Here is a 24,856-nt window from a genome sequence, read left to right as displayed (position 1 = left end):
ATCTCATCTCCACTAAAAAAAATTAGCTGGCTGTGGTGGCATGTGCCTGTAGTCCCAGCTACATGGGAGGTGAAGATGGGAGGATCGCTTGAGCACAGGAGGTTGGGGCTGTAGTGAGCTGTTATTCACACTATTGCATTCTAGCCTGGGCAACACAGCCAGACTCTGTCTCAAAAAAGCAAAACAAAACAAAAAGAGAGAAAGAGGGATGTAATTGTTTTAAATCCTCACAACTGCCAGGTCAGGTCACGACTATTTAGGCCCATTTATAGATAAGGAAACAAACCCAGAGAGGGGACGTCCTTAGCACAGTGCCAGGCTACATGAGTATTTATGGAATGAACAGCTGTAGCATCTTCTTCAGTCTTCTCAACTATGCAAGCAGAGGGGGTCACCAGCTCTGTTTTACAGAGGCAGAGGAAGAGGCTCAGAGAGCAGCATACATGGCAGAGCTGGGACACAAATCCAGGTTACCTGACACCACAGCGTGGACTTTAATCACCTGTCTTTCCCAGAATCGCTGTCACCTCCCCCCTGTAGTCATAATAAAGGCTTTCATTGCACTCACTACATGCCAGGAACTGTTCTAGACAGAGAGGGGGCTATGGAATCCTCTCCACAGCTCTCAGAGGCAGGCCCCATTCTCCACATTCTACAGGTGAAAAATATGAGGCTCAGAGCGATTTACGGATGGCTTCAGGTTCCAAGCTCCAAATTCCCTAGCAATGATTAGACGTCGAGGCCCTTATCTGCTTACCCTGCCAGGTAGGCCACATGGCCTGTGCCGGGGTCACAGGTTAGGCCACTGCTGTTCTGGGCTGTGATGCCAAGCACCTTCTCGAGTGACACCTGCAAAGAAAAAGCCCAAGTCAGAGGCACCCACCCTAGCCAGCACCACATGGTGCAGCCGCCTTGGCCACCCATTCAGGTCCTGCTACATTCAACACCCACACTGAGCTTCTGTGGCCACGCCATCCACCAGCAGCTAACACTTGTTCTCTCAACATTCCTTTGACAAATACAACGCTAGGTGAAAAGCACAGAGTGGTGAGGAAGAGACAAATCCCTGCCCTCGGGGGGCTCACATTCTACTGGTGATGGGTATGTAGAACATAGAAAAGGAGCAGAACAAATATGTGAAATAGATGCCAAGTAATGATGGGTGCAAGAGAGAAGAAAGCAGATAAGGAGGTTAGGAGCACAGGGGAAGGGGGCGAATGCCGCGGTGAGAAGGTGACCTGTGAATAAGTTTCTAAGTACTTTTTTTTGTTTGTTTTTGAGATGGAGTCTTGCTCTGTCACCCAGGCTGGAGTCAGTGGTGAGATCTTGGCTCATTGCAACCTCCGCCTTCCAGGTTCAAGCAATTCTCCTGCCTCAGCCTCCTGAGTAGCTAGGATTACAGGCACATGCCACCATGTCCGGCTAATTTTTGTATTTTTAGTAGAGATGGGGTTTCACCATGTTGGCCAGGCTGGCCTCGAACTCCTGACCTCAGGTGATACACCCGCCTCGGCCTCCCAAAGTGCTAGGATTACAGGCATGAGCCACTGTGCCCGGCCTCTTAGTACTTTTATATGTATAAAAGACTTGAATCCTCCCAACAAGCCACGAAGAAGGCTCTATTATCACCCCTGTTTTACAGGTAAGAAGTCTGAGGCCCAAGATCCTACATCTGCAAGTGGCAATGTTGATATACAAACCCAGGCAGTCTGGCTCCAAAGCTAGCACTTTGGGCTGTACAGGAGAGACACAGTAGTGACCAAAGGTAGACAGTTTCCCCACATCAGATTCACAGTCCAGAAATTTGAGCGGTTTCAACGAGTAAAAAACCACATGAACAGTAATATTTAAAATTTAAACAAGGCTGGGTGTGGTGGCTCAGTCAAGAGTTTGAGACCATCCTGGCCAAGATGGCGAAACCCTGTCTCTACTAAAAATACAAAAAAATTAGTCAGGTGTGGTGGCCCATGCCTATAATCCCAGGCACTCAGGAGGCTGAGGCAGTAAAATCGCTTGAACCCAGGAGGCGGAGGTTGCAGTGAGCTGAGATGGCACCATTGCACTCCATCCTGGGCGACAGAGTGAGACTCTGTCTCAAAAAAAAAAAGGAACAAAACAGTTGAGGAAACAGAGGCCAAGAGGGGTTACCCATCCAGGAAGGGGTAGTGCCAGGATTCCAACACAAACAACCAAGCCATGGCACTCATGTTGTCTTATCTGTCGATCAGCATTACTGGGCCCTGGTATGAATGGTCACTTTTAGACTAGGTCTTTGCAAGACAGATCAACTCTGTGCTGCCAAACAAAAAAAATAAATAAATATTACCCCAAATACACAGTCATAATATCAGTATTAGCTAACATGAATAGAGTACTTGCCATATGCCAGTGTTGTTCTAAGTGCCTAGGATATGTAACCTCATTGAATCCTCACAAATACCCTATGAGAGATTTCTACATCATTATTCTCATTTTACAGATAAGAAAACTGAGGCACAGATAAGTTCATAACTTGGCGGGGCACAGTAGCTCACGCCTGTAATCCTAGCACTTTGGGAGGCCGAGGCAGGCAGATCGCTTGAGCTCAGTAATTCAAGACCAGCCTGGCCAACACGGCGAGACCCTGTCTCTACCAGAAAACACAAAAAAATTAGTCAGGTATGGTGGCATGCGCCTGCAGTCCCAGCTACTCAGGAGGCTTGAGGCAGGAAGATCACCTGAGCCCAGGGAGGCTGAGACTGCAGTGAGCCGAGATCAACCCAGTGCACTACAGCCTGGATGACAGAGTAAGACCCCATCTCAAAAAAAAAAAAAAAGAAAAGAAAAAGCGAAGTTCATAACCTGCCAGGAAGAACAGGACTAAAGTTTAAGCTCAGGCTGCCTGGGTCCAACCATACCATCAGCAGCAGTCTGTGCTCTTAGCCACTTTGCTATAACGCCTCTCTGAATTTGCTATTGTTATATGTAGTTTAATAGCTCAAAGGGCACTTTCAGGAACATATAAGATAAAGGCTATGAAGTATAGGGTGCTGGGTGACAGATGAAGGTGGCTGTTTGCTTTAGAATGGGGTTCGAGAAGGCCTTTCAAGATAGCGACATTCAGGCTGAGACTTGAAGGATGGGAAGGAGCCAGACAGGCAGATTGCAGCAAAAAGCCCAGGCTGAGGACTCACCAATCACAAAGGCCAGGAGGCAGAAAAGAATATGGAGCCTCAGGAAAACCAAAAGCAGGCCAGTGTGACTGAACCTTGGTGACAGAGAGCACATGGGAGGTACAGCCAGAGCCCTGTAGCCAGGAGTGGGCGGTATAATCACAGTGCAGGAGAAAGTCATGGGGCAGGAACAAGCTCCACCAGCAGCTACCAGGTATCCTCCCTTTATCTGGACTCCGTGCCAAGAAGATCACAATTAAAATTTCATTTCCCTCCAATGCAATAGTATAATTTATTTATTTATTTATTTTGAGACAGAGTCTCACTCTGTCGCCCAGGCTGGAGTGCAGTGGCATGACCTCAGCTCACTGCAACCTCCGCCTCCCAGGTTCAAGCGATTTCTCCCGCCTCAGCCTCCTGAGTAGCTGGGATTACAGGCGCGCGCTAGCATGCCGGGCTAATTTTTCTACTTTTTGTAGAGACGGGTTTCACCATGTTGGCCAGGCTGGTCTTGAACTGATCTCAGGTGAACAGCCCACCTTGGCCTCCCAAAGTGCTGGGATTACAGACGTGAGCTACCGCGCCCTACCAGTAGTATGGTTCTTATCATCTCCATTTTATAAAAACAGATTTTGTGCCTACACAGCTGGAAAACAATTTTTTTAATTGCCGCTGTGCTAATGGAATTCCTTCTACCTACTGTGAAATCATTTCTTTCCATTTTTCTGTCTCAGGATTTAGGGAACTGTTCTGTACGCCCTCCTCCCCAGGCAGCACTGCAGAGATTTTATAAATAACTTCTCACGTCTTTCTCATAGTTTTGAGTGACAATATGGATTAAGAATCCCACCTTGGTGAGGAAAAAGGATAGAGATCGCAGAAGGTGAGAGAAGGCGGGGTAGAAGCGAGGAAGAGTTGGGGCAGGTAACACTCTGGACCGAACCCTCGAAGGGACCTTAATGACTCAGCGGGGGCCAGGGCAGTGAGGCTGCAGTGAGCTATGATCGTGACGTCTAAAGGCGATAGAACGGGGGTTAAAATATAGCAGGACTAGGCTGTGATTTACAGAAGCAAAATGCATTTCCACGGGTGGGAACCAGCGAGGAACCCCCGAATTGCTCCAACGCTGAGGGTGGAGCCGGGAAAGCAGCGAGGAGAAAGTGGGAGGGGCCGTGGCTAAAGGGGCGGGGGTTAGGGGACGAGGCATGGCAGGGAACAACCTGAGGGGACTGGCCGGGGGCTGATGTCGGGGCCACAGTTCTCAGGACGGGACTAGGGGAAACCTAGGAAGCCTGGAACTGGGGTAGACATGGCGAGCAGCTTCTCACCCGGTTCTGCACCGTCTCCTCGGAGGCCGTCGAGAGTCGCGTCCGCCGCCGTAGGCAGATTGGTGGGGCGGGGGGCGGGGAGGACTGGCCCCTCCGCGCCGGAACTCCCGCCATGACAGAGGGCAGCTTCTCCCCTGCATCGTTCCGCGCATAGCCTCCGGACCCTACGGCCGCCATCGTCACGCCGGAGGCGGGCGACCGTTACATCCCCTAACCGCCGCTGCCGCCACCGCCACGACCCACTGGAACAGCGAACAGCCGCGGGAAAGCCGGCGCCACCGCCTATTGGACGCGACGGGCCCGGCCTAGCCAATCGCAGGGATGCCGGGCGGCGCTTAGAACCAATGGGGGCGAAGAGGCGGAGCGAGTGCCTGGCGGGGCGGGGCCACAGCCAGTGTACTGGATGCCTGATTAAGCGTCATGGGGTCTTTCATCCAGACTGCGTTTTCATTATTCGCTGAAACATACAGGTTTTAATTTTTACGAGGCTAAGGCCACGGCCGCCTCACCTCGGTTTTTGCCGCCACCTAGAGGAACTATGTGCGCCCCAACGGTTGCCCGGATGTAGGCGTAGGGTGGAGCCGTAAGAGATTGACTAGCCAGTTGATTTGGTTGGCGCAGGCTCAGAAACGCCGTGACGCCGCCCTTCCCCCCAACACGTGATGAAAGTCGGGGTGACGAAGGGCCGGCTTTGCGCAGGTGCACAGTACTCGCTATGGCCCATTCGTCACGTGACGAGGGCGGGACTGTGGCACTGTGGAGGGGCGCCTAGTAGGCAGGCGCTCTCAGCTCTCTCCCCGGTACGTGACGAGACTCCACGGACGTCACGTGAGGCAGGCGGCGAGCGCGGGTGGGGCGGGGTTAGGCGGCGCTCCGCGAGAACCAAAGTGCAGCCGCTGACCCGGCAAAACTCAGCGGGGGCTGGATAGCCATGCCCAAGTACTGCAGGGCGCCGAACTGCTCCAACACTGCGGGCCGCCTGGGTGCAGACAACCGCCCTGTGAGCTTCTACAAGTGAGCGCAGCGCGGGGCGGGGCTTGAGGGAGGCGGGACCCTGAGAGGGGTGGGGCCCGAGCATTAGTGCTGCTGTGCGGGGCTTCTGGTCTTGCTTGAGGGTGTTAGGAAGTGGGGTTAAACCATGAGGAGATGGCCTTCCTGGCAGTGTCCATTGCACATACAAAGGTGCAGGCGTGGGAAACAGGAGTAGACGATTGACTACAGATAGCGAGCGAAGCGAGCCGAAGAGTGAAAGGGATGTAAGAAGTGAAGTCGGTGCAGGCTGTTAGAGAGCCTGCAGATGCCCACTTGCCCTCCCCACGCATTTGAGCCATCTGAAACTCAGAGCATCCGAAACTGAGCTTGCGATCGTGTCTCCCCAAAACCTTCCAGTCTGTCTTATCTTAGTAGCGTGCTTCATTCTTCTTGTTGCTTAGGTTTAAAAAATGTCATCCTTACCTCTTTCGTCATACTTGGGAAAGTCAGAATTAGCTTCGACTGTAAAAGATCTGTCTCCTTATTTATCTGGCTGACATAAGCCAGTTGGTGGAAGAATTACTAGGAAAAAACATTTCTTTGCTTTTTTTTTTTTTTTTTTTTGAGACAAGATCGCTTTGTCGCCCAGGCTGGAATGCAGTGGAACGATCACAGCTCACTGCAACCTCGACCTCCCGGGCTCAAGTGATCCTCCCACCTCACCCTACCAAGTAGCTGGGACCAGAGGCACGCGCCACCATGCCTGGATAATTTAAATTTTTTTTTTTTTTTTTTTTTTTTTTTTTTTTTGCCAGGCTTGGTGGCTCACGCCTGTAATCCCAGCACTTTGGGAGGCCGAGGCGGGCAGATCACCTGAGGTCAGGAGTTCGAGACCAGCCTGGCCAACATGGTGAAACCCCGTGTCTACTAAAAATACAAAAATTAGATGGGCGTGGTGGCTCATGCGTGTAATTCCAGCTACTCCGTGGGCTGAGGCAGGAGAATCGCATGAATCCAGAAGGCAGAGGTTGCAGTGAGCCAAGATGAGGCCACTGCAATCCAGCGTGGGCAACAAGAGTGAGACTCCGTCTCAAAAAAAAAAATTTTGTTTTTAAAGAGAGAGATGGGATCACCCTATGTTGTCCAGTCTAGTCTCAAACTCCTGGGCACAAGCAGTCCTCCTGCCTCGGCCTCCCAAAGTGCTTGGATTACAGGCGTGAGCCACTGCACCCAGCCAGGAAAAAATATTTCTCTTGGACATACTGCAGATGTAAAGTGGCAGAATTCCCATCCTTTGAGTGTCTACTGCTTTCTTAGTAGGAAACTTTGGTTGTCTAAAGTCAGAGATGATCACAAACTTTGCTGTTTGAAATCACATCAAGTAAGAATGAAACATCTCACTTTTGCTTGGAGGAGCTAAGTCACTTTGACACAGAAAAGCAGTCCCTATTTACAATCCAGGTTTGGAGCTTCAGATAAGGACACAATATTCTACATCTATGTAAACTTTATTGCATCTGAGAAGACAAACCCTGGGCCCACTTCACCATCCGGACCTGATATTGATCCCTTTACACACAGTTCTGATTTGCTTTGAGGCAATCTGAACACTGCTTAGTTTACATTTCACCTAAAAAATAACTCTGTTTGTTGAGACTCCCTCACAAAACAAAGGCCCATAGGGCCTATGGCAGTGGTCCCCAACCCTTATGGCACCAGGGACTGGTTTTGTGGAAGACAGTTTTTCCACGGATGGGATAGGGTTGGGGGAATGGTTTTGGGATGAAACGCTTCAGATCATCAGGCATTAGATTCTCATAAAAAGCGGGCAACTGGCCAGGCACAGTGGCTCATGCCTGTAATCCCAGCACTTTGGGAGGCCAAGGCGGGCAGATCACGAGGTCAGGAGATCGAGACCATCCTGGCCAACATGGCGAAACCTTGTCTCTACTAAAAATACAAAAATTAGCTAGGTGTGGTGGCACATGCCTGTAATCCCAGCTACTTGGGAGGCTGAGGCAGGAGGATCACTTGAACCCAGGAGGCAGAGGTTGCAGTGAGCCGAGATTGCGCCACTGCACTCCAGCCTGGCGACAGAGTGAGACTTCATCTAAAAAAAAAACCAAAAAACCCAAAAAACAAACAAACAAAAAAAAAATGGAGGGCAACCTAGATCTCTCACATGCACAGTTCAGAATAGGATTCACACTCTTGTGAGAATCTAATGCTGCTGCTGCTCTGACAGGAGGCGGAACTCAGGTGGTAATGCGAGCAGTGGGGAGTGGCTGTAAATACAGATGAAGCTTCTCTCACTCGCTCACCTGCCTGCCACTCACCTCCTGCTGTGTGGCCCTATTCCTAACAGGCCATAGACTGGTACCCGTCTGTAGCCTGGGAGTTGGGGACCCCTGGCCTATGGTATCTCTAGTGTGCAGACTCTCCCATTGCCATTGTAAATAAATCTGACAGTGCTGGACTACAGGTTTGTCCCTGGTGGTCTTAGCCTAAGTGGGCTAGGACACATTCCTCATCCAGTCCCTCAGCAAATCCAGTTGGCTCTCCCTTTACAAACTGTCCAGAATTTGATCACTTCTAACCCTCTCCTCTTCCTGCATCCTGCTCCTGGCAATTATCACCTCCAGACTGGACTATTTTAGCAGCCTCTTCATTGGTCTCCCTGCTCCCACCGTCACCCCCAGTCTGTTCCCTGCTTGCAGCCAGAGGGAGCCTGTGAACACCTGAGTCAGATCAGCGCCCTCCTCTGCCCAGATCCCTTCCGTGACTCCCACCTCACTATAAAAAATAAAGTGAGGCTGGAACAGGTAGAAAGCAGGCCTGCAAAGTCCTACAGAGCTGGTTCCCTGATACCAGTGTGACCTCATCTCTTTCCTCCTGCCCTTCACACCAGTGACACTGGCCTACTTCATGTTCCTGTAGTGTGGCAGGCATGTTGCTGCCCTGGGGACTTTGCCTGTGTGATTCCCTCTGATTTCAAAGTTCTTGCCTTTATGACTACCACCCTATGGAAAACTGTAACTGACACCCAAACACACACACGATTCTCTCTGTCTCCTGCTTTATTTTTCTCTTTAACACATCACTGTCTGCATATTGCGTTTTCGATGTATTCATTCATTATCTCCCCCACTAGAATATCAGTTCAATCAAGCCAGAGGTTTTGTCTTTCTTTGTCTTTCTTCTTTCCTCCTGTTTGTGTCTCCAACCTCTAGAATATTGCCTGGCACATAGTAGGTTCTTAGTAAAGATTCGTTGGGTGGATTTGGTGAATGCCTTTCAGATGGGCTCTCCAGGAAAGCCAGCAGTCCATGTGTCACGGATCCTTTGAGGGACCCTGGTGTAGGGCCAAAGGGACTTTAAGCCTGTGTATGACTCTGGCAACATTGATTAATTCAGCAACTTTTTGAGTATTTCTTGGAGAAGCAAGTAAGCCCCTGCTGGACACAAAGAATCCTGACAGATCTTGTTTCTGCCATGACAGAGCTCATGGATAGGTGAGGGATCAAACATTGAGGAACTGAGTACGTGACCTGGGAGTTACCCATGATCCTTCCTTTTCATTCACCGCTAGTCCATTAACCCACCCTTTGGCTCTACCCTCAAGACATTTCTCCATCCTGCAACAACCACAACAAAATCTCTAACACCTTGACAAGACAGTTATAAACACAAATGAGAAATTCCTAAATAAATCATTAACAAATAAGGAAAGATAGGCTGGGCGTGGTGGCTCACACCTGTAATCCCAGCACTTTGGGAAGTCGAGGCAGGAGGATCGCTTGAGCCCAGCAATTTGAGACCAGCCTGGGCAACGTGGCAAAACCCCATCTCTACAAAATGTAAAAAATTAGCTGGACGTGGTGGTACACACCTGTAGTTCCAGCTACATGAGACAGTGAGGTGAGAGAATCACTGGATCCCAGGAGCCGAGGCTGCAGTGAGCTGTGATTGTGCCACTGTACTCTAGCCTGGGCAACCGTGTGAGACCTTGTCTCAAAATAAATAAATAAGAAATAAGGAAAACACATTCCCAGACTACTTCTCATCACATCCACTGTCATCATGTAGTCCAGGCTGCCATCATCTTTTTTTTTTTTTTTTTTTTGAGACAGGGTCTTGCTCTGCCGCCCAGGCTGGAGTGCAGTGGTATGATCTCGGCTCACTGCAACCTCTGCCTCCCAGGTTCAAGTGATTCTCCTACCTCAGCCTCCTGAGTAGCTGGGACCACAGGTGCACACCACCACACCCAGCCAATTCTTTGTATTTTTAGTAGAGATGGAGTTTCACCATGTTGGCCAGGTGGGTCTTGAACTCCTGACCACAGGTGATCCACCCACCTTGGCCTCCCAAAGTACTGGGATTACAGGCGTGAGCAACCGTGCCTGGCCCGTTTCCACTCTTACCTCTCTCATAACAACAACAATAGTTACTTAGTATTTACCTTATGCCAGGCACTGTTCTAAGTGCTTTGTATGTATAATAAGGAGGAAAATGATGACGACTGTATATAGCAGCCAGATGACTGTATAAAAATCACTTCATGTCTTCATTGGCACCCGCTAGTGACTAGCCCATTTCCACCTCAGGGCCTACCCCTGAGTCAGTCTTGCAGAAGCCACTTAGTTAAGAGTTAGATGAGAAGCAGTTTCCAAAAGAGGCTTAGGAGAGGGCATGGATGCCAGGTGAGAGATAAGATGAGACACATTGAGGGAAGTGGCTGCCAGGAAATAACTTGAAATCCTGCTTGGCAGCCAATGGGAACACTCATTAGTTCACTCTCTCTTTTTTTTTTTTGAAACATGATCTTGCTTTGTCACCCAGGCTGGAGTACTGTGGTGCGATCATGGCTCAATGCAGCTTCAGCCTCCCAGGCTCAAGCAGTCCTCCCATCTCAGCCTCCTTTTTTTTTGTTTTTTTCATTTTTCTTTTTTATTTTTATGCTAGTCAAGCATGGTTGTGTGGGGAGACAATGTTAAATCAGCTTAACAATAACCCACAACACTCGGACCAGCTCCATCTCAGCCTCCTGAGTAGCTGGGACTACAGGCATGTGCCACCATGCCTGGCTAGCTTTCATTAGCTCTGTCTTAGGCCCTTTCAGGGACAGTGGCAATGGGGTCATCTCTTATGGGGGACCTATCACTTAGAATTGTATCTGCTTGGTAGTAACAAAGTCCTGCAATAAGAGTTGCTTAAACAAATTATGGGGTCTATAGGAATCAGTGTGGTTAAGTTATGCTGCACAAACAAACTTCTCAAATCTCAGTGGCTTACTACAACAAAGGTGTTTTTTGTTTTTTTGTTTTTTTTTTTTTTTAAAGAAGGGGTCTTTATCACCTGGGCTAGAGTGCAGCACCATCATGGTTCACTGCAGCCTCAAACTCCTGGGCTCAAGCAGTCCTCCCGCCTCAACCTCCTGAGTAGCTGCGACTATAGGCAGACACCACCTTGTCAGGCAAATTTTTCTAATTTTTGTAGAAATGAAGTCCCATTGGGCTGGGCGCGGTGGCTCACACCTGTAATCCCAGCACTTTGGAAGGTTGAGGCAAGTGGATCACCTGAGGTCAGGAGTTTGAGACCAGCCTGGCCAACATGGTGAAGCCCCATTTCTACTAAAAATACAAAAATTGCCAGGCGTGGTGGCACACGCCTGTAATCCCAGCTACTCAGGAGGCTGAGATGGGAGAATCGCTTGAACCTGGGAGGCGGAGGTTGCAGTCAGCCAAGATCGCGCCACTGCACTCCAGCCTAGGCAACAAGGGTGAAACTTCGTCTAAAAAAAAAAAAAAAGAAATGAAGTCCCACTATGTTGCCCAGGCTGGAACTCCTGGGCTCAATCAGTCCTCCTGCTTTAGCCTCCCAAAGTGCTGGGATTACAGGCATGAATCACCACACGTGGCCCAAAGGTGTATTTCTTGCTCACACTATGTCCTTTGCAGGTCATTTGTGGTCCTACTCTACAGTATCTTAATTGGGGTCTCAGGCTGAATAAACTATCCCTATTTGGAGTATTGCTGGTCTTGCAGGAGGAGGAAAAAAGAAAGTGGAGTGAATCACCCAGTGGCTCTTGGTCAATTTCATATTTAGAAGTGGCCTGTGTCACTTTCACTGGCATTCTTTTGGCTGGAGCAAGTATATAGCAAGCCTCAAGTCAATGGAGTGGGCATGTGTAATCCTCATGTGGAGAGAGACAGCAGACATTCTATTACAGGGTTTATTTTCCCTCATATACAGAAAGTACAGAGGTTGGCAAACCAGCACTGGGATAGTAGCTCCACAGTCATGAGAAATGAGGGGTCCTATCACTATTTTTCTTTCTTTTTTTTTTTTTTTGAAAGTCTCATTCTGTCACCCAAGCTGGAATGCAGTGGCACAGTCTCAGCTCACTGCAACTTCCACCTCCTGGGTTCTAGGGATTCTCATGCCTCAGCCACCCAAGTAGCTGGAATTATAGAATTACAGGCGCATGTCACCATACCCAGCTAATTTTTGTATTTTTAGTAGAGACAGGGTTTTGCCATGTTGGCCAGGCTAGTCTCAAACACCTGGCCTTAAATGATCCTCCCACCTTGGCCACCAAAGTGCTGGGATTACAGGTGTGAGCCACCATGCCCGGCCTCTTTCTGCTCTGTCATCCTTAGCCTGTGGCTTCCATCCTTGGCCTGTGGCTTCCATCCAAGGTGGCTGCCAGTGCCCCAGCCACCACTGCCACCATTCCTTATAGGAGGAAAAGGGAAGGGAGGAAGAGCAAAAAGCGTTCAGGTCTAAACTGAATCATCTCCCTTTATAAGGCCTTCCCAGAAACCCCGTTCAATGGCACCTTTTCATCATTGGTCACCCCAACTGGAAAAGAGGCTGGGAATTGTGGTCTTTAAAAACTGGGCATTTAATCAGCCTGAAGAAATTTTGAGTTACATTAGTAAGAAAGAAAAAAAGGACTTCTAGCAGTATATGCCACCCCATGCTCTGGACAAGATGACCAGCAAGACTAAAATAGTTTATACAAAGGGGAACATGGGGGTATAGCTCAGTGGTAGAGCATTTGACTGCATACAAAGGGGAACACTTGTTGTCTGCTTAAGGTAGTTTTTTAGAAAGCAACATTGCCCATTACAAATGCTGCTATCCAGAGGAACAAGAGAGAGTAAGACCAATTAAGGAGACCTTTCTTAGGATATTGACTTTTTTCCTTTGCTCTTTGAGCTGCTGAATCCTGTTGATCGTCCCTTCCATTTAAGGCACCATCCCAGAGATCCCACACAACACTAAAGCATTCCTTGGCCAGAAGGTAGTCACACGCCCCAGCCAGCTGCAAAGGATCCTGGGAAACATAGTCTTTTAGCAGGACACATTGTGGCCTCAAAGAAAGTTGGAGTTCTGTTAGTAAGGAAAAGGCAGAGAGTAGATACGAGTAGTCCATTGGCAGATTCTGCCTGGGAGATGGTGGCAATAAGAATGGGGAATGCTGTTGCAATAGATCTTGTGTTTGTGTCCCGGAAGAATGGGGCTGCTGAGAACATTGGGATCTTAGAGGGAGGCTGACTGCAGCAGCCAGACTCCCTGGCTGTGTGCCCTGGGGTTCTGCTCTCTGGGTGCCACTGCTGTTCTCTGAGTCAGCCTTTCTGTGCTCTTTCACCAGCTACCTGCCCCCTCCACCTCCATCTTCCTTTGTCTGAGAAGTCTTGGCTCTCCCCATCTCCGTTCATCCCATCCACCTCCTCCCCACTGGTAGCCTCTTTAGTTTCTTGTGTGTCCTTCCTATGTGTCTTAGTCTGTTCTCACACTACTATAAACAACTACCTGAGACTGAGTAATTCATAAAGGAAAGAGGTTTAATGGACTTACAATTCTGAATGGCTGGGGAGGCCTCAGGAAACTTACAATCATGGTGCAAGGCGAAGGGAAAGCAAACATCTTACATGGGGGCAGGAGAGAGAGAGAGCAAGAGGGGAACTGCCACTTTTAAACCATCAGATCTCATGAGAACTCACTCACTATCATGGGAACAGCATGGGGGAAACATCCCCCATGATCCAGTCACCTCCCATCATGTCCCTCCCTTGACACATGGGGATTACAGTTCAAGATGAGATTTGGGTGGGGACACAGAGCCAAACCACATTACCATAGTTTCTTTATATAAATACCAGCAAATGTGAAAGACATTCTTATTTCTCCCTTTATTACACTATTAGTTTCCCATGCTGCTCTAACAAACTTGGTGGCTTAAAACAAGACAAATTATTTTCTAACAGTTCTAGAGGCCAGGAGTCCAAATCGGCTTTCCTGGGCCAAAACCAAGGTGTCGGCAGGGCTGTACTCCTCTGGAGGTTCTGGGGGAGAATCTCTTCTTTGCCTGTTCCGGTTCCTGGTGGCTGCAGGCAGTGCTTGGCTTGTGGCCACATCTCTCCAGTCTCTGCCTCCATGGTTGCATTGCCCTCTCTTCTTTTCTGTGGTAATATATTCTCCTCCCTCTTATTAAAAGGATACTTGTAGTGGCATTTAGGGCCAACCCGGATGACCCAGGATAATCTCCCCATCTCAAGATCCTTAACTTAATCACATCTTTTGTCATATAAGGTAATATTCAGGCCTGGCACAGTGGTTCACGCCTGTAATTTCAGCACATTGGGAGGCCGAGGTGGGAGGATTGCTTGAGCCCAGGAGTTTGAGACCAGCCTGGGCAACAAGGCAAAACCCCATCTCTACAAGAAATATAAAAATTAGCTGGGCATGTGGCACATGCCTGTAGTCCCAGCTACTTGGGAGGCTGACGTGGGAGGATTGCCTGAGCTTGGGGAGTTTGATGCTGCAGGGAGCCGAGATCACACCACAGCACTCCAACCTGGGTGACAGAGCAAAACCCTGTCTCTAAATAAATAAATAAATAAATATACAAAAAAATTAGCCGGACGTGGTGGCGGGCGCCTGTAGTCCCAGCTACTCGGGAGGCTGAGGCAGGAGAATGGTGTGAACCTGGCAGGCGGAGCTTGCAGTGAGCCGAGATTGCGCCGCTGCACTCCAGCCTGGGTGACAGAGCGAGACTCCATCTCAAAAAAATAAATTAAATAAATAAATAAATAAATAAAGTAATAGTCACAGTTTCCAGGAATTAGGACATGGATAGCTTTTGGGGGCTACCACAATGACTAAAAGCTGAGATAGTCTATTTAGAACCTTGCTTTTTTTCACATAATGTGTGCCTGACAATAGCATGTCAGTTCACAGAGTACCTCTACATTCTGTTTTATAGCTGCATCGTATTCTTTTGTGTGGATGTGCCTATGTTTACCCTCTCTCCTGTAGGAATTTTGTCCCTAATTCTCTAGCACTCACTAGTCTATCTTTTCAACAAAGAGAGAGCAGGGGTGGGGTGTGGTGCCTCATGCCTATAATCGCAGCACTTTGGGAGGCCAACGTGGGAGATCACTTCAGCCCAGGAGTTCAAGACCAGTCTGGACAACATAGTGAGACCTCTGTCTCTACAAAAAGAAATTTTAAATTAGCCAGGTGTGGTGGCACATGCCTGTGGTCCCAGGTACTCGGGAGGCTGAGGTGGGAGGATCACTTGGGCCTAGCAGTTCAGGGCTACAGTGAGCCATGATCGTGCCTCTGCACTTTAGCCTGGGCAACAGAATGAGACCGTGTCTCAAAAAAAAAGAAAGAAAAGAAAAGAAAGAGAGCAGGCCTCAGGCTCATAACCCTCAGTAGGTAATGGCATCTGATGTTTTTATGGTTAGCTTTTGTTTATGGAATTGATACTGATTTTCCATTTTCAATTGTGATGTAAAGTTTCTCTTTTAAGTATCTTTGTTTAATAGTTAAAATTGGTTAGTTTTAAGAAAAATATGAAATAAGTAATATCACAGATATGGAAAACATTGTGAAGATGGGATATGCATGAGATGTGTCTTAGTTATCTAATGCTATATAACAAACTATCCCCAAATTTAGCAGCTTGAAATAAACATTTACAGTCTCAGTTTCTGGCAGCTGCTAAGGACAAACTGGCCAGCATTTGATCATGTGGCCACCCCTGGCTGCAAATAAGGCTGGAAAAGGAGGTCTTTATTATGGGTAGCCTTGAGCCCAGGTCTAAATAGAGAGTGGATTACCATCTAAGAGGGTAAGAGCAGATGCTGGGAATAAGTGGCACCCGGAAACCGGAGAAGTGGGGCACATTTAGAGGGTCCCTCATCAGATAATCCTCACCCACAACCACTGAGAAAGCTTTTATTTTTTAAAACTTAAAACAAAAAAAATTTTTTTTTGAGATGGAGTCTTGCTCTGTCGCCCAGGTTGTAGTGCAGTGGCGTGATCTCGACTCACTGCAACTTCCACCTCCCAGGTTCAAGTAATTCTTCTGCCTCAGCCTCCCGAGTAGCTGGGATTACAGGGACACGCCACCAGGCCTGGCTAATTTTTGTAATTTTCGTAGAGACGGGGTTTCACCATGTTGGCCAGGCTGGTCTTGAACTTGAATTCAAAATCACTTGAGGTCTGACTGCAAGTGATCCGCCCACCTCGGCCTCCCAAAGTGCTGGGATTACAGGCGTGAGCCACCGTGCCTGGCCTATTAAAATTATTTTTACCTGTGGCAAAATACACATAAAATCTACCATTTTGATCATTTTTAAGTGTACAATTTTGATCATTAAGTGTACAATTCACTAATGTTAAGTGTTGTATAACCAATCTCCAGAACTTTTTCCTCTCCTAAAACACTCTATCCCCATTGGACAATTCCCTCTTTCCCTCTCCCCCAGGCTCTTGGCAACCACCATTCCACTGTCTGTCTCTAGGAATTTGACTGTTCTACCTCATATAAGTGAAATCGTCAGTATTTGACTGGCTTATTTCACTTACCCTAATGGCCCTCAGAGTTCATCTGTGTTGTTGCATGTGTCAGATCAAGACTAAATAAAATTCCAGGCCAGATGCAGTGGCTCACACCTGTAATCCCAGCACTTTGGGAGGCCGAGGTGGGTGGATCACCTGAGGTCAGGAGTTTGACACCAGCCTGGCCAACATGGTGAAACCCCATCTCTACTAAAAATACAAAAATAGCCAGGTGCAGTGGCAGGCACCTGTAATCCCAGCTACTTGGGAAGCTGAGGCGGGAGAGTCGCTTGAACCCAGGGGGCGGAGGTTGCAGTGAGCCGAGATCACACCACTGCATTCCATCCTGGGCAACAGAGTGAGACTCCATCGCAAAAATAAATAAATAAGCCGGGCATGGTGGCGGGAGCCTGTAATCCCAGCTACCCAGGAGGCTGAGGCAGGAGAATCACTTGAACCCAGGAGGCAGAGATTGCAGTGTGCCGAGATTGCGCCATGGCACTCCAGCCTGGGTGACAGAGTGAGACTGCATCTCCTCCCTCCCCCCAAAAAAAAGACTAAATAAAATAAAATTCCATTGTATGTATATGCAGCATTTTTCTTATCCATGTATCTGTTGATAGACACTTCCACCTTTTGGCTGTTGTGATTTATGCTGCTATGTTTCTGTTGTCTGTTTGTTTGTTTTTGAGACAGCATGTCGCTCTTTTGCCCAGGCTAGAGTGCAGTAATGTGATCATGGCTCACTGTAGCCTTAACCTCCTGGGCTCAAGCAGTCCTCCCACCTCAGCCTCCTGAGTAGCTGTGCCTCTAGGCACATGCCACCATATCTGGCTAATTTTTCTATTTTTTGTAGAGACAAGATTTCACCTGTTGCTCAGGTTGGTCTTGAACACCTGGGCTCAAGTGACCCACCCACCTCAGCCTCCCAAAGTGCTGGGATTACAGGCATGAGCCACCACGCCAGGCCTGATTTATGTTGCTACGAACGCAGGTGTGCAAATATCTCTCCAAGACCCTGTTTTGTGTTCTTTTGGGTATGTAAGCAGAAGTGGATTGCTGGGTCATATGGTAATTCTATTTTTCAGTGTTTGAGGAACTGCCATATTGTTTTCCACAGTGGCAGCACCGTTTTACATTCCCAGCAGTGTACCAGAGTTCCAGCAGTTTTTCCACATCCTCACACACACTGTTCTTCTCTTCCTCTTCCTCCCCCTCTTACTCCCTCCCCCTTCCCCTTCCCCTCCTCCTCCATCACCCAGGCTGGAATGCAGTAGTGTGATCATAGCTCACTGCAGCGTTCAAATTCCTGAGCTTAAGCAATCCTCCCACATTGCCTCCTAAGTAGATAGAACTATAGATGCACATTGCCACACCCAGCTAATTTAAAAAATATTTTTTCGTAGAGACAAGGTCTTGCTACATTGCCCAGGATGGTCTTGGACTACTGCCTTCAGGAGATCCTCCTGCCTCAGCCTCCCAAAGTGCTGGGATTACAGACACAAGCCACCATGCCCGGCCTCTTTTTTGTTGTTGTTCAATAGTAGCTGTTCTGGTGTTTGTCAGATGATATTTCATCAGGGTTCTGATACTGCGTTTTCCTAATGATTGGAGATGTCAAGTATCTTTTCATGTGCTTATTGGCCATTTGTATGTCTTTGGAGAAATGTTTGTTCAAGTCCTTTGCCCATTTTTGAATCAGGTTATTTGTGTTTTATTGTTGTTGAGTTGTTTAAAGACTTGTTAGTGGGTGTTTTCAAGCATACACAAAAAGTAGAGCCCTCAGTATCCATCACTGTGTCACTAGTTATCAACACTTTGCCAATCTTCTTCCCTGCCCTGCCCACACCTCTAAGTTTTTGTCCTGCACTATTTTAAAGTAAATCCCAGACATCAGATCTTTTATCCGTAATTATTTCAGACTGATTTCTAACAGAAGACTGTTTCAGAAGTATAAACCAATACAGTTATCACACCTAGCAAAATGAATTTTTTTTTTTTTTTTTTAAAGACAGGGTCTGGCTCTGTCACCCAGGCTGGAGTACAGTTGCGCAATCTCGGCTCACTGCAACCTCTGCCTCCCAGGCTCAGGTGACCCTCCCACTTCAGCCTCCCGAGTAGCTGGGACTACAGGCATGTACCACCATACATGGCTAATTTTTTTTTTTTTTTGTAGAGTCGAGGTCTCCCTATGTTGCCCAGGCTGGTCTCGAACTCCTGGGCTCAAGCGATCCTCCCACCTTGTCGTCTTCCCAAAGTGCTAGGATTACAGGCATGAACCGCCATGCCTGACCAGTTTCTTACAATTATCTTATAACCAGTTCATGTTCAGTTTTCCCCAATTGTCTTAAAATGTCTTTTTACTGAATTGTTTGTTGTAGGCAAGGTCCACATCCTGCGTTTGTGCTGATGTTTCTTAAATCTCTCTTAATCCAGAAACCCCACACCCCCATTTATATGGTGTGGAAGAAACGTTTTCGCTTGGCTGCACGATCTCCCACATCGTAACTGTCTGATTTTATAAACTGCTCCAACAAGTTGATGTGGAAGAACAAATTGGGAGTGGAGGGGCGGGACTGTGGGCAGGAAGACCAGGAAGGAGGCTGGAAGGAGGGGCAGTGGAGGGGGCAGAGGTGGGCTGATGCTGGGTGTTTAAAAGGTGGAGCTTTCAAATTAATAATAATAAGAAGAAATGCCAGGCTTGGTGGCTCATGCCTATAATCCTAGCACTTTGGGAGGCCAAGGTGGGTGGATCACCTGAGGTCAGGAGTTCAAGACCAGCCTGGCCAACATGGTGCAACCTCGTCTCTACTAAAAATACAAAAATTAGCCGGGCGTGGTGGCGTGCGCCTGTAGTCCCAGCTACTCAGGAGGCTGAAGCAGAAGAATCGTTTGAACCCAGGAGGCGGAGGTTGTAGTGAGCCAAGATCGCGCCATTGCACTCCAGCCTGGGTGACAAGTGCGAAACCCCGTCTCACAAAATACTACTACTAAAAGATGAAGCTGAAAAAAGGGTTGTGGTTGTGTGTATGAGATAGAGAAAGCCTGGGCACAAGACAGGTCTACTTCCTAGCCCTAGGGAGGCACAGGCTTGGAGCCCAGAGACCTCCAGGGTGGGTATCCTCTGGGAGGGATAAGTCTGAACCTCGTAGCACTGACCCAGCCCCCCAACCACCCATGCAGGTTCCCACTGAAGGATGGTCCCCGGCTGCAGGCCTGGCTGCAGCACATGGGCTGTGAGCACTGGGTGCCCAGCTGCCACCAGCACTTGTGCAGCGAGCACTTCACACCCTCCTGCTTCCAGTGGCGCTGGGGTGTGCGCTACCTGCGGCCTGATGCAGTGCCCTCCATCTTCTCCCGGGGACCACCTGCCAAGGTGAGCGCTGGGAGGTCCTGCTGCTGGAATCCAACCCCCAGACCTCCCTGCCTAAGGGAAGTCCCTCCTTGAGTCTGAACTTTGGCCCTCCCCTCCTGACGACACTTCCTCCCTGAGGTCTGGCCTTACCTAGGCAAGTCCCCCTTGGAAACAGACCCTCCATCCCTTTCCTCCTGAGTCGAAGTCTGACCACGGCACCCCTGCACCCCATGCCTTGTCTTCCAGAGTCAGCGGAGGACCCGAAGCACCCAGAAGCCAGTCTCGCCGCCGCCTCCCCTACAGAAGAATACACCCCTGCCCCAGAGCCCTGCCATCCCAGTCTCTGGCCCAGTGCGCCTAGTGGTGCTGGGCCCCACATCGGGGAGCCCCAAGACTGTGGCCACCATGCTCCTGACCCCCCTGGCCCCTGCGCCAACTCCTGAGCGGTCACAACCTGAAGTCCCTGCCCAACAGGCCCAGACCGGGCTGGGCCCAGTGCTGGGAGCACTGCAACGCCGGGTGCGGAGGCTGCAACGGTGCCAGGAGCGGCACCAGGCGCAGCTGCAGGCCCTGGAACGGCTGGCACAGCAGCTACACGGGGAGAGCCTGCTGGCACGGGCACGCCGGGGTCTGCAGCGCCTGGTGAGTGGCACCCCAGCCTGGCAGCCCCATCCATGGGTGGTGGCCTGGCCTGCAGTGTGTTTTCATTTTGTCTAGGATCCCCTATTCAAAAATCAGAACATTCAGCCGTGTTTCCAAATTTCTGGCTTTCCCGGGCTCAGTGGCTCACGCCTGTAATCCCAACACTTTGGGAGGCCAAGGCAGGAGGATTGCTGGAGGCCAGGAGTTCGAGACCAGCCTGGGCAACATAGCAAGCACTGTCTCTACAGAAAATTAAAACAAATTTCTAGGTTTTCCTGAAAAACAAAATCTGGCAATGCCAAGCAACTATTGGTTGGAGCTGAGTAATGATTGCTCCATTTACTAATACTAAATACTTAATATTTGAGAAGCTCTTATTGTCTGCCAGACACAGAGTTATAACATAGTGAGCTGAAAACTCACTATGACCCTTTGAGCTGGAGCTACAGGGTTAATTTTTTTTTTTTTTTTTGAGACGGAGTCTCGCTCTGTTGCCCAGGCTGGAGTGCAGTAGTGCAATCTCGGCTCACTGCAGCCTCTGCCTCCCAGGTTCAAGCGATTGTCCTGCCTCAGCCTCCCAAGTAGCTGGGACTACAGGTGCCCGCCACCACGCTCAGCTAATTTTTTGTATTTTTAGTACAGACAGGGTTTCACCGTGTTAGCCAGGATGGTCTCGATCTCCTCACCTCGTGATCCACCTGCCTTGGCGTCCCAAAATGCTGGTATTACAGGAGTGAGCCACCATGCCTGACTGCTACAAGGTTAATTTTTAAAAAATGCAGTGGCTCACATCTGTAATCCTAGCACTTTGGGAGGCCAAGGTGGGCAGATCGCTTGAACCTAGGAGTTCAAGACCAGCCTGGACAACATGGTAAGACTGTCTCACTAAAACACAAAAATTAGCATTGTGGTGGGCACATGTGGTCCCAGCTACTTGGGAGCCTGAGGCAGGAAGATCCCTTGAGCCCAGGAAGCAGAGACTGCAGTGAGCCAAGATCGCACCACTGCACTCTAGCCCGGGTGACCAAGCAAGGTCTCAAAAAAAACCAAAAACCACAACCAAACAAAAAACTCACTATGGTCTGTGTGCGGTGGCTCATGCCCGTAATCCCAGCACTTTGGGAGACCAAGGCAGGCAGATTGCTTGAGTTCGGGAGTTTGAAACCAGCCTGGGTAACATAGAGAAACCCTGTCTCTACTAAAAATACAAAAATTAGTTGGGCATGGTGGCGCACCTGTAATCCCAGCTACTTGGGAGGCTAAGGTGTGAGAATTGCTTGAACCCTGGAGGTGGAGGTTGCAGTAAGCCGAGATGGCACCACTGCACTCAAGCCTGGGCAACAGAGCGAGACGCCATCTCAAAAACAAAAACAAAAACAAAAAAAGGCCGGGTGTGGTGGCTCATGCCTATAACCTCAGCACTTTGGGAGGCTGAGGTGGGCAGATCACGAGGTCAGGAGTTCGAGACCAGCCTGGCCAACATGGTGAAACTCCATCTCTACTAAACATACAAAAAGTAGCCGGACGTGGTGGCACACGTCTGTAATCCCAGCTACTCGGGAGGCTGAGGGAGGAAAATTGCTTGAACCTGGGAAGCAGAGGTTGCAGTGAGCCGAGATTGTGCCATTGCACTCCAGCGTAGGCGACAAGAGCAACACTCCATCTCAAAAAACAAACAAAAAAAACCTCATTATAATCTTAATACTGCTGTTGTCTCTATCTTCCAGATGAAAAAATGGAGGCACAGAGCAGTCCAGTAGTGTGCCCACAGTCAGGCAGCCAACATGTTTCAGGGCCAGGATTCAAACCCAGGTGTCTGGCTGCAGAAGAGGCCTGTGAGAGCTTCCTGCCTGGCCCCTATAGAGCTGGAGTTTGCAATCTCTGTAATAGTGTCCCCCAGGCCCTATCTGAATCCCTTTTGCCTCTATATTTTACTGCTGGGTGTGTGTGTGTGTGTGTGTGTGTGTGTGTGTGTGTGTAGGGGAGGAATTTGAGGAAGGTGTTTGTGTGTGTGTGTGTGTGTAGGGGAGGAAGCTGAGGAAGGTGTGTGTGTGTGTGTGTGTGTGTGTGTGTGTGTGTAGGGGAGGAAGTTGAGGAAGGGTGTTATGTCTCTGTGTGTGGGGTGGCGGGGGAGGAAGATGAGGAATGGTGTTATGTCTCTGAAAATCACAGTTTGACCAAGGCGAAATTTCTCCTGTCTTAAAACCCTAGGGCCAAGCTTGAGGTGCCCAGCTTAGCCCCCATGGCTTTCAGAGCCCTGCTTGTATGAGAGAGATGCCCACACAGAGCTCTGAATGCTAGACTCACTGAAGGGGCTCAGGAAGGAGCCCCCACAGTACCTCTGGAGTTAAGGAGTATCCGATTTTTTTTTTTTTTTTTTTTGAGAAGGAGTCTTGCTCTGTTGCCCAGGCTGGAGTGGAGTGGTGCGATCTCAGCTCACTGCAACCTCTGCCTCTCTGGTTCAAGCGATTCTCCTGTCTCAGCCTCCCAAGTAGCTGGGATTACAGGCACGTGCCACCATGCCCAGCTAAGTTTTGTGTTTGTAGTAGAGACGGGGTTTTGCCATGTTGGCCAGGCTGGTCTTGAGCTCCTGACCTCAGGTAATCAGCCCACCTCGGCCTCCTATAGTGCTGGGATTACAGGTATGAGCCACCATGCCCAGCCAGGAGTCTCAGATTGATAGTCAGTGGTTTGGACATGACCCACAGATACAATTTGTTTGGCCTCCGCAGTGCTTTAAAATAATTTATAATGGCCGAGTGCAGTGGCTCACACCTGTAATCCCAGCACTTTGGGAGGCTGAAGCAGGTAGATGACTTGAGCCCAGGAGTTTGAGACCAGACTGGGCAACATGGTGAAACCCTGTCTCTACAAGAAACACAAAAAATTAGCCAAGTGTTGCACCTATAGTTCTAGCTATTTGAGAGGCTGAAGTGGGAGTATTGCTTGAGTCCAGAAGGTCAAGGCTTTAATGAACTGTGATTGTGCTACTGCACTCCAGCCTGGGTGACACTGTGAGACTCTGTCTCAAAAAAAAAAAAAAAAAAAAAGTCTGGTCTTTCCTGAAGGCTCTGCATATCTAGCAGCACTGGGCTTGGATTCTCAGGTGATAGCAGTTGGCTGGAGCTACAGTGTGGCTGCCTCTGGGGCCTTGAAGTTTGAGACTGTGGCCTGGGGCACAGAGGGACAGTGGGGCAGGGACAGAGCTCAGACTCGGGCCTGGGGCTCTTTGTGGAGCCTGCCAGATCCCCTGAGCTGACTGCCTCTCTCTGCCTCCCCTCCTGTCATTCAATCTCTGTCTCCTACTCATCTATCCCTACCTCCCAATCTCCTCCCTCCCCAACATTCATTGTCTTTCTGCCCATCATCTCTGTCCGCCACCTGTTTCCCCACCTCCCTGTGTCTCTCTTTATCTGCATATTTTCTGTCTCCCCCATATCTCTGACCCTGTCTGTACGTCTGTCTGCCTGCACATCTCTTTCCCCCACGTGTCTGCGTCTGTGCCCCCGCACTTCTCTTCCCATTTCCCCACCCTTCTTTCCTTTCCCATGAATGTCTCTCTGGCCCTCACATCTGCTTTCCTGTCTCCTCATATCTCTCCCCACATCTCTCTCTGTTTCCTGACACGCCCTCCTGCCACCTTTGCCTCCCTGTTCCTCACCGTTATCTGTCTGTCTCTCCCGCAACTTGCTTCGTAATGTTCCCCATCTCTACCACTTCTTTGCCTTAGACAACAGCCCAGACCCTTGGACCTGAGGAATCCCAAACCTTCACCATCATCTGTGGAGGGCCTGACATAGCCATGGTCCTTGCCCAGGACCCTGCACCTGCCACAGTGGATGCCAAGCCGGAGCTCCTGGACACTCGGATCCCCAGTGCATAAGGATCAAGACAGACAATGTCGAGGGACAAAAGATAGAAGATGGAGGAGGAAAGACATTATACGTGGGCTTGGCCCAGCCCCACCGCCCACGCCTGGGTAGTAGCAGTGCCTCCCTCAAGGGCCTGGGTTCTACCACCCCACTCCTAGGGATCTCTTGAACCTTAGGGGTGACCTGGGCCCAAGTCTCTCATCAGCCCCCAATCCCCTGGGTACCAGGCTTCTGCCACCCCCGGCTCAGATCTTTGCAAATCAGTACGACAGCCTCAGAGCAGAGCAAGGGTTGTTTGGGAGAATCATACCTGGTTCTAAGGAGTCCCACGCTTTTTGCCAAGCCTGGTACTGAGTTCATGATACCATGGTGGACACAGCTGAGAAAATCCCTGCCCTCATGGTGCTCATTCTACTTGAGTAGACGATGAACTAGTAAACAAATAAACAAGAACACTGCAGACATGAGCGATGAGTGCTATAAAGACAACAAAAATTTGGTTTGGGCCTGGGGGAGGGCCCTCCAAGGCCATGTTTTAGCAGAAACCTGGGTGATCAGAAGGGGCTGGCCTGGAGCGCTACAGGCTCAGGTTCCAGAGGACGAACAACCCCTGCAGTGAGGGCCTGCTGTCTGGGATGTGTCAGGTCTGGGAGGCGGTGTTGCTATGGAGAAAACCAT

General features: G+C 49.4%; 2 protein-coding genes, 1 long non-coding RNA gene and 1 pseudogene across 25 annotated transcripts in view, besides 1 other annotated feature; 1 reads left to right on the top strand and 3 right to left on the bottom strand.

Moving 5' to 3' along the window:
* The window catches only part of WDR62 (WD repeat domain 62), a 56,249-nt gene extending 51,517 nt beyond the window's left edge, over positions 1–4,732 (bottom strand). For all 18 annotated transcript variants that reach the window (XR_001753671.2, XR_001753672.2, XM_017026665.2 and 15 more), the window contains exons 1-2: positions 4,481–4,732; positions 758–849 (exon numbers count right to left, since the gene is read on the bottom strand). Coding sequence is in view for 16 of the 18 variants with exons in the window: in XM_017026665.2 (XP_016882154.1) it covers positions 758–849; positions 4,481–4,657 (269 nt within the window). In the remaining 2 variants the exon portion in view is untranslated. The remainder of the gene's footprint in view (positions 1–757; positions 850–4,480) is intronic.
* On the top strand, positions 4,867–24,645 carry THAP8 (THAP domain containing 8). Of its 5 annotated transcripts, none has more exons than NM_001331104.1 (4): positions 4,867–5,280; positions 19,493–19,685; positions 19,911–20,306; positions 24,037–24,644. In NM_001331104.1, the coding sequence occupies exons 2-4, from the start codon at positions 19,539–19,541 to the stop codon at positions 24,187–24,189; spliced, it is 696 nt and encodes a 231-aa protein (NP_001318033.1). In that variant the 5' UTR covers positions 4,867–5,280; positions 19,493–19,538; the 3' UTR covers positions 24,190–24,644. The 5 variants fall into 5 exon arrangements, 4 of the variants coding, with proteins under 4 accessions (NP_001318033.1, NP_001318032.1, NP_001318031.1 ...); NM_001331103.2 differs by lacking the exon at positions 4,867–5,280 and adding an exon at positions 5,344–5,480 and having other exon boundaries at positions 24,037–24,645; NM_001331102.2 differs by lacking the exon at positions 4,867–5,280 and adding an exon at positions 5,344–5,494 and having other exon boundaries at positions 19,911–20,183; positions 24,037–24,645.
* The window catches only part of LOC101927572 (uncharacterized), a 36,616-nt gene continuing 20,271 nt past the window's right edge, over positions 8,512–24,856 (bottom strand). The window contains exon 4 of one of the 2 annotated variants that reach the window (NR_170988.1): positions 8,512–8,804. This is a non-coding gene — a long non-coding RNA (uncharacterized LOC101927572). Of the gene's footprint in view, positions 8,805–13,281; positions 13,921–24,856 lie in introns of those variants that run through there. The other variant, NR_170987.1, reaches the window with a different exon arrangement.
* On the bottom strand, positions 10,410–10,483 carry RNY5P10 (RNY5 pseudogene 10; annotated as a pseudogene).
* Positions 23,857–24,030: a silencer, noted in NCBI's record as "fragment chr19:36526501-36526674 (GRCh37/hg19 assembly coordinates)". NCBI's record gives its function as "represses an EF-1alpha promoter that drives an FKBP-Casp9 reporter gene in an ReSE screen in HepG2 liver carcinoma cells {active_cell/tissue: HepG2}" and the evidence as "EXISTENCE:reporter gene assay evidence [ECO:0000049][PMID:32094911]".

Source organism: Homo sapiens, chromosome 19 (genome assembly GCF_000001405.40).
Source record: "Homo sapiens chromosome 19, GRCh38.p14 Primary Assembly".
Classification (NCBI taxonomy): Eukaryota; Metazoa; Chordata; class Mammalia; order Primates; family Hominidae; genus Homo; species Homo sapiens.
Note: the sequence above shows the minus strand (reverse complement) of the source record. Positions and strands in the feature narration are given on the sequence as shown.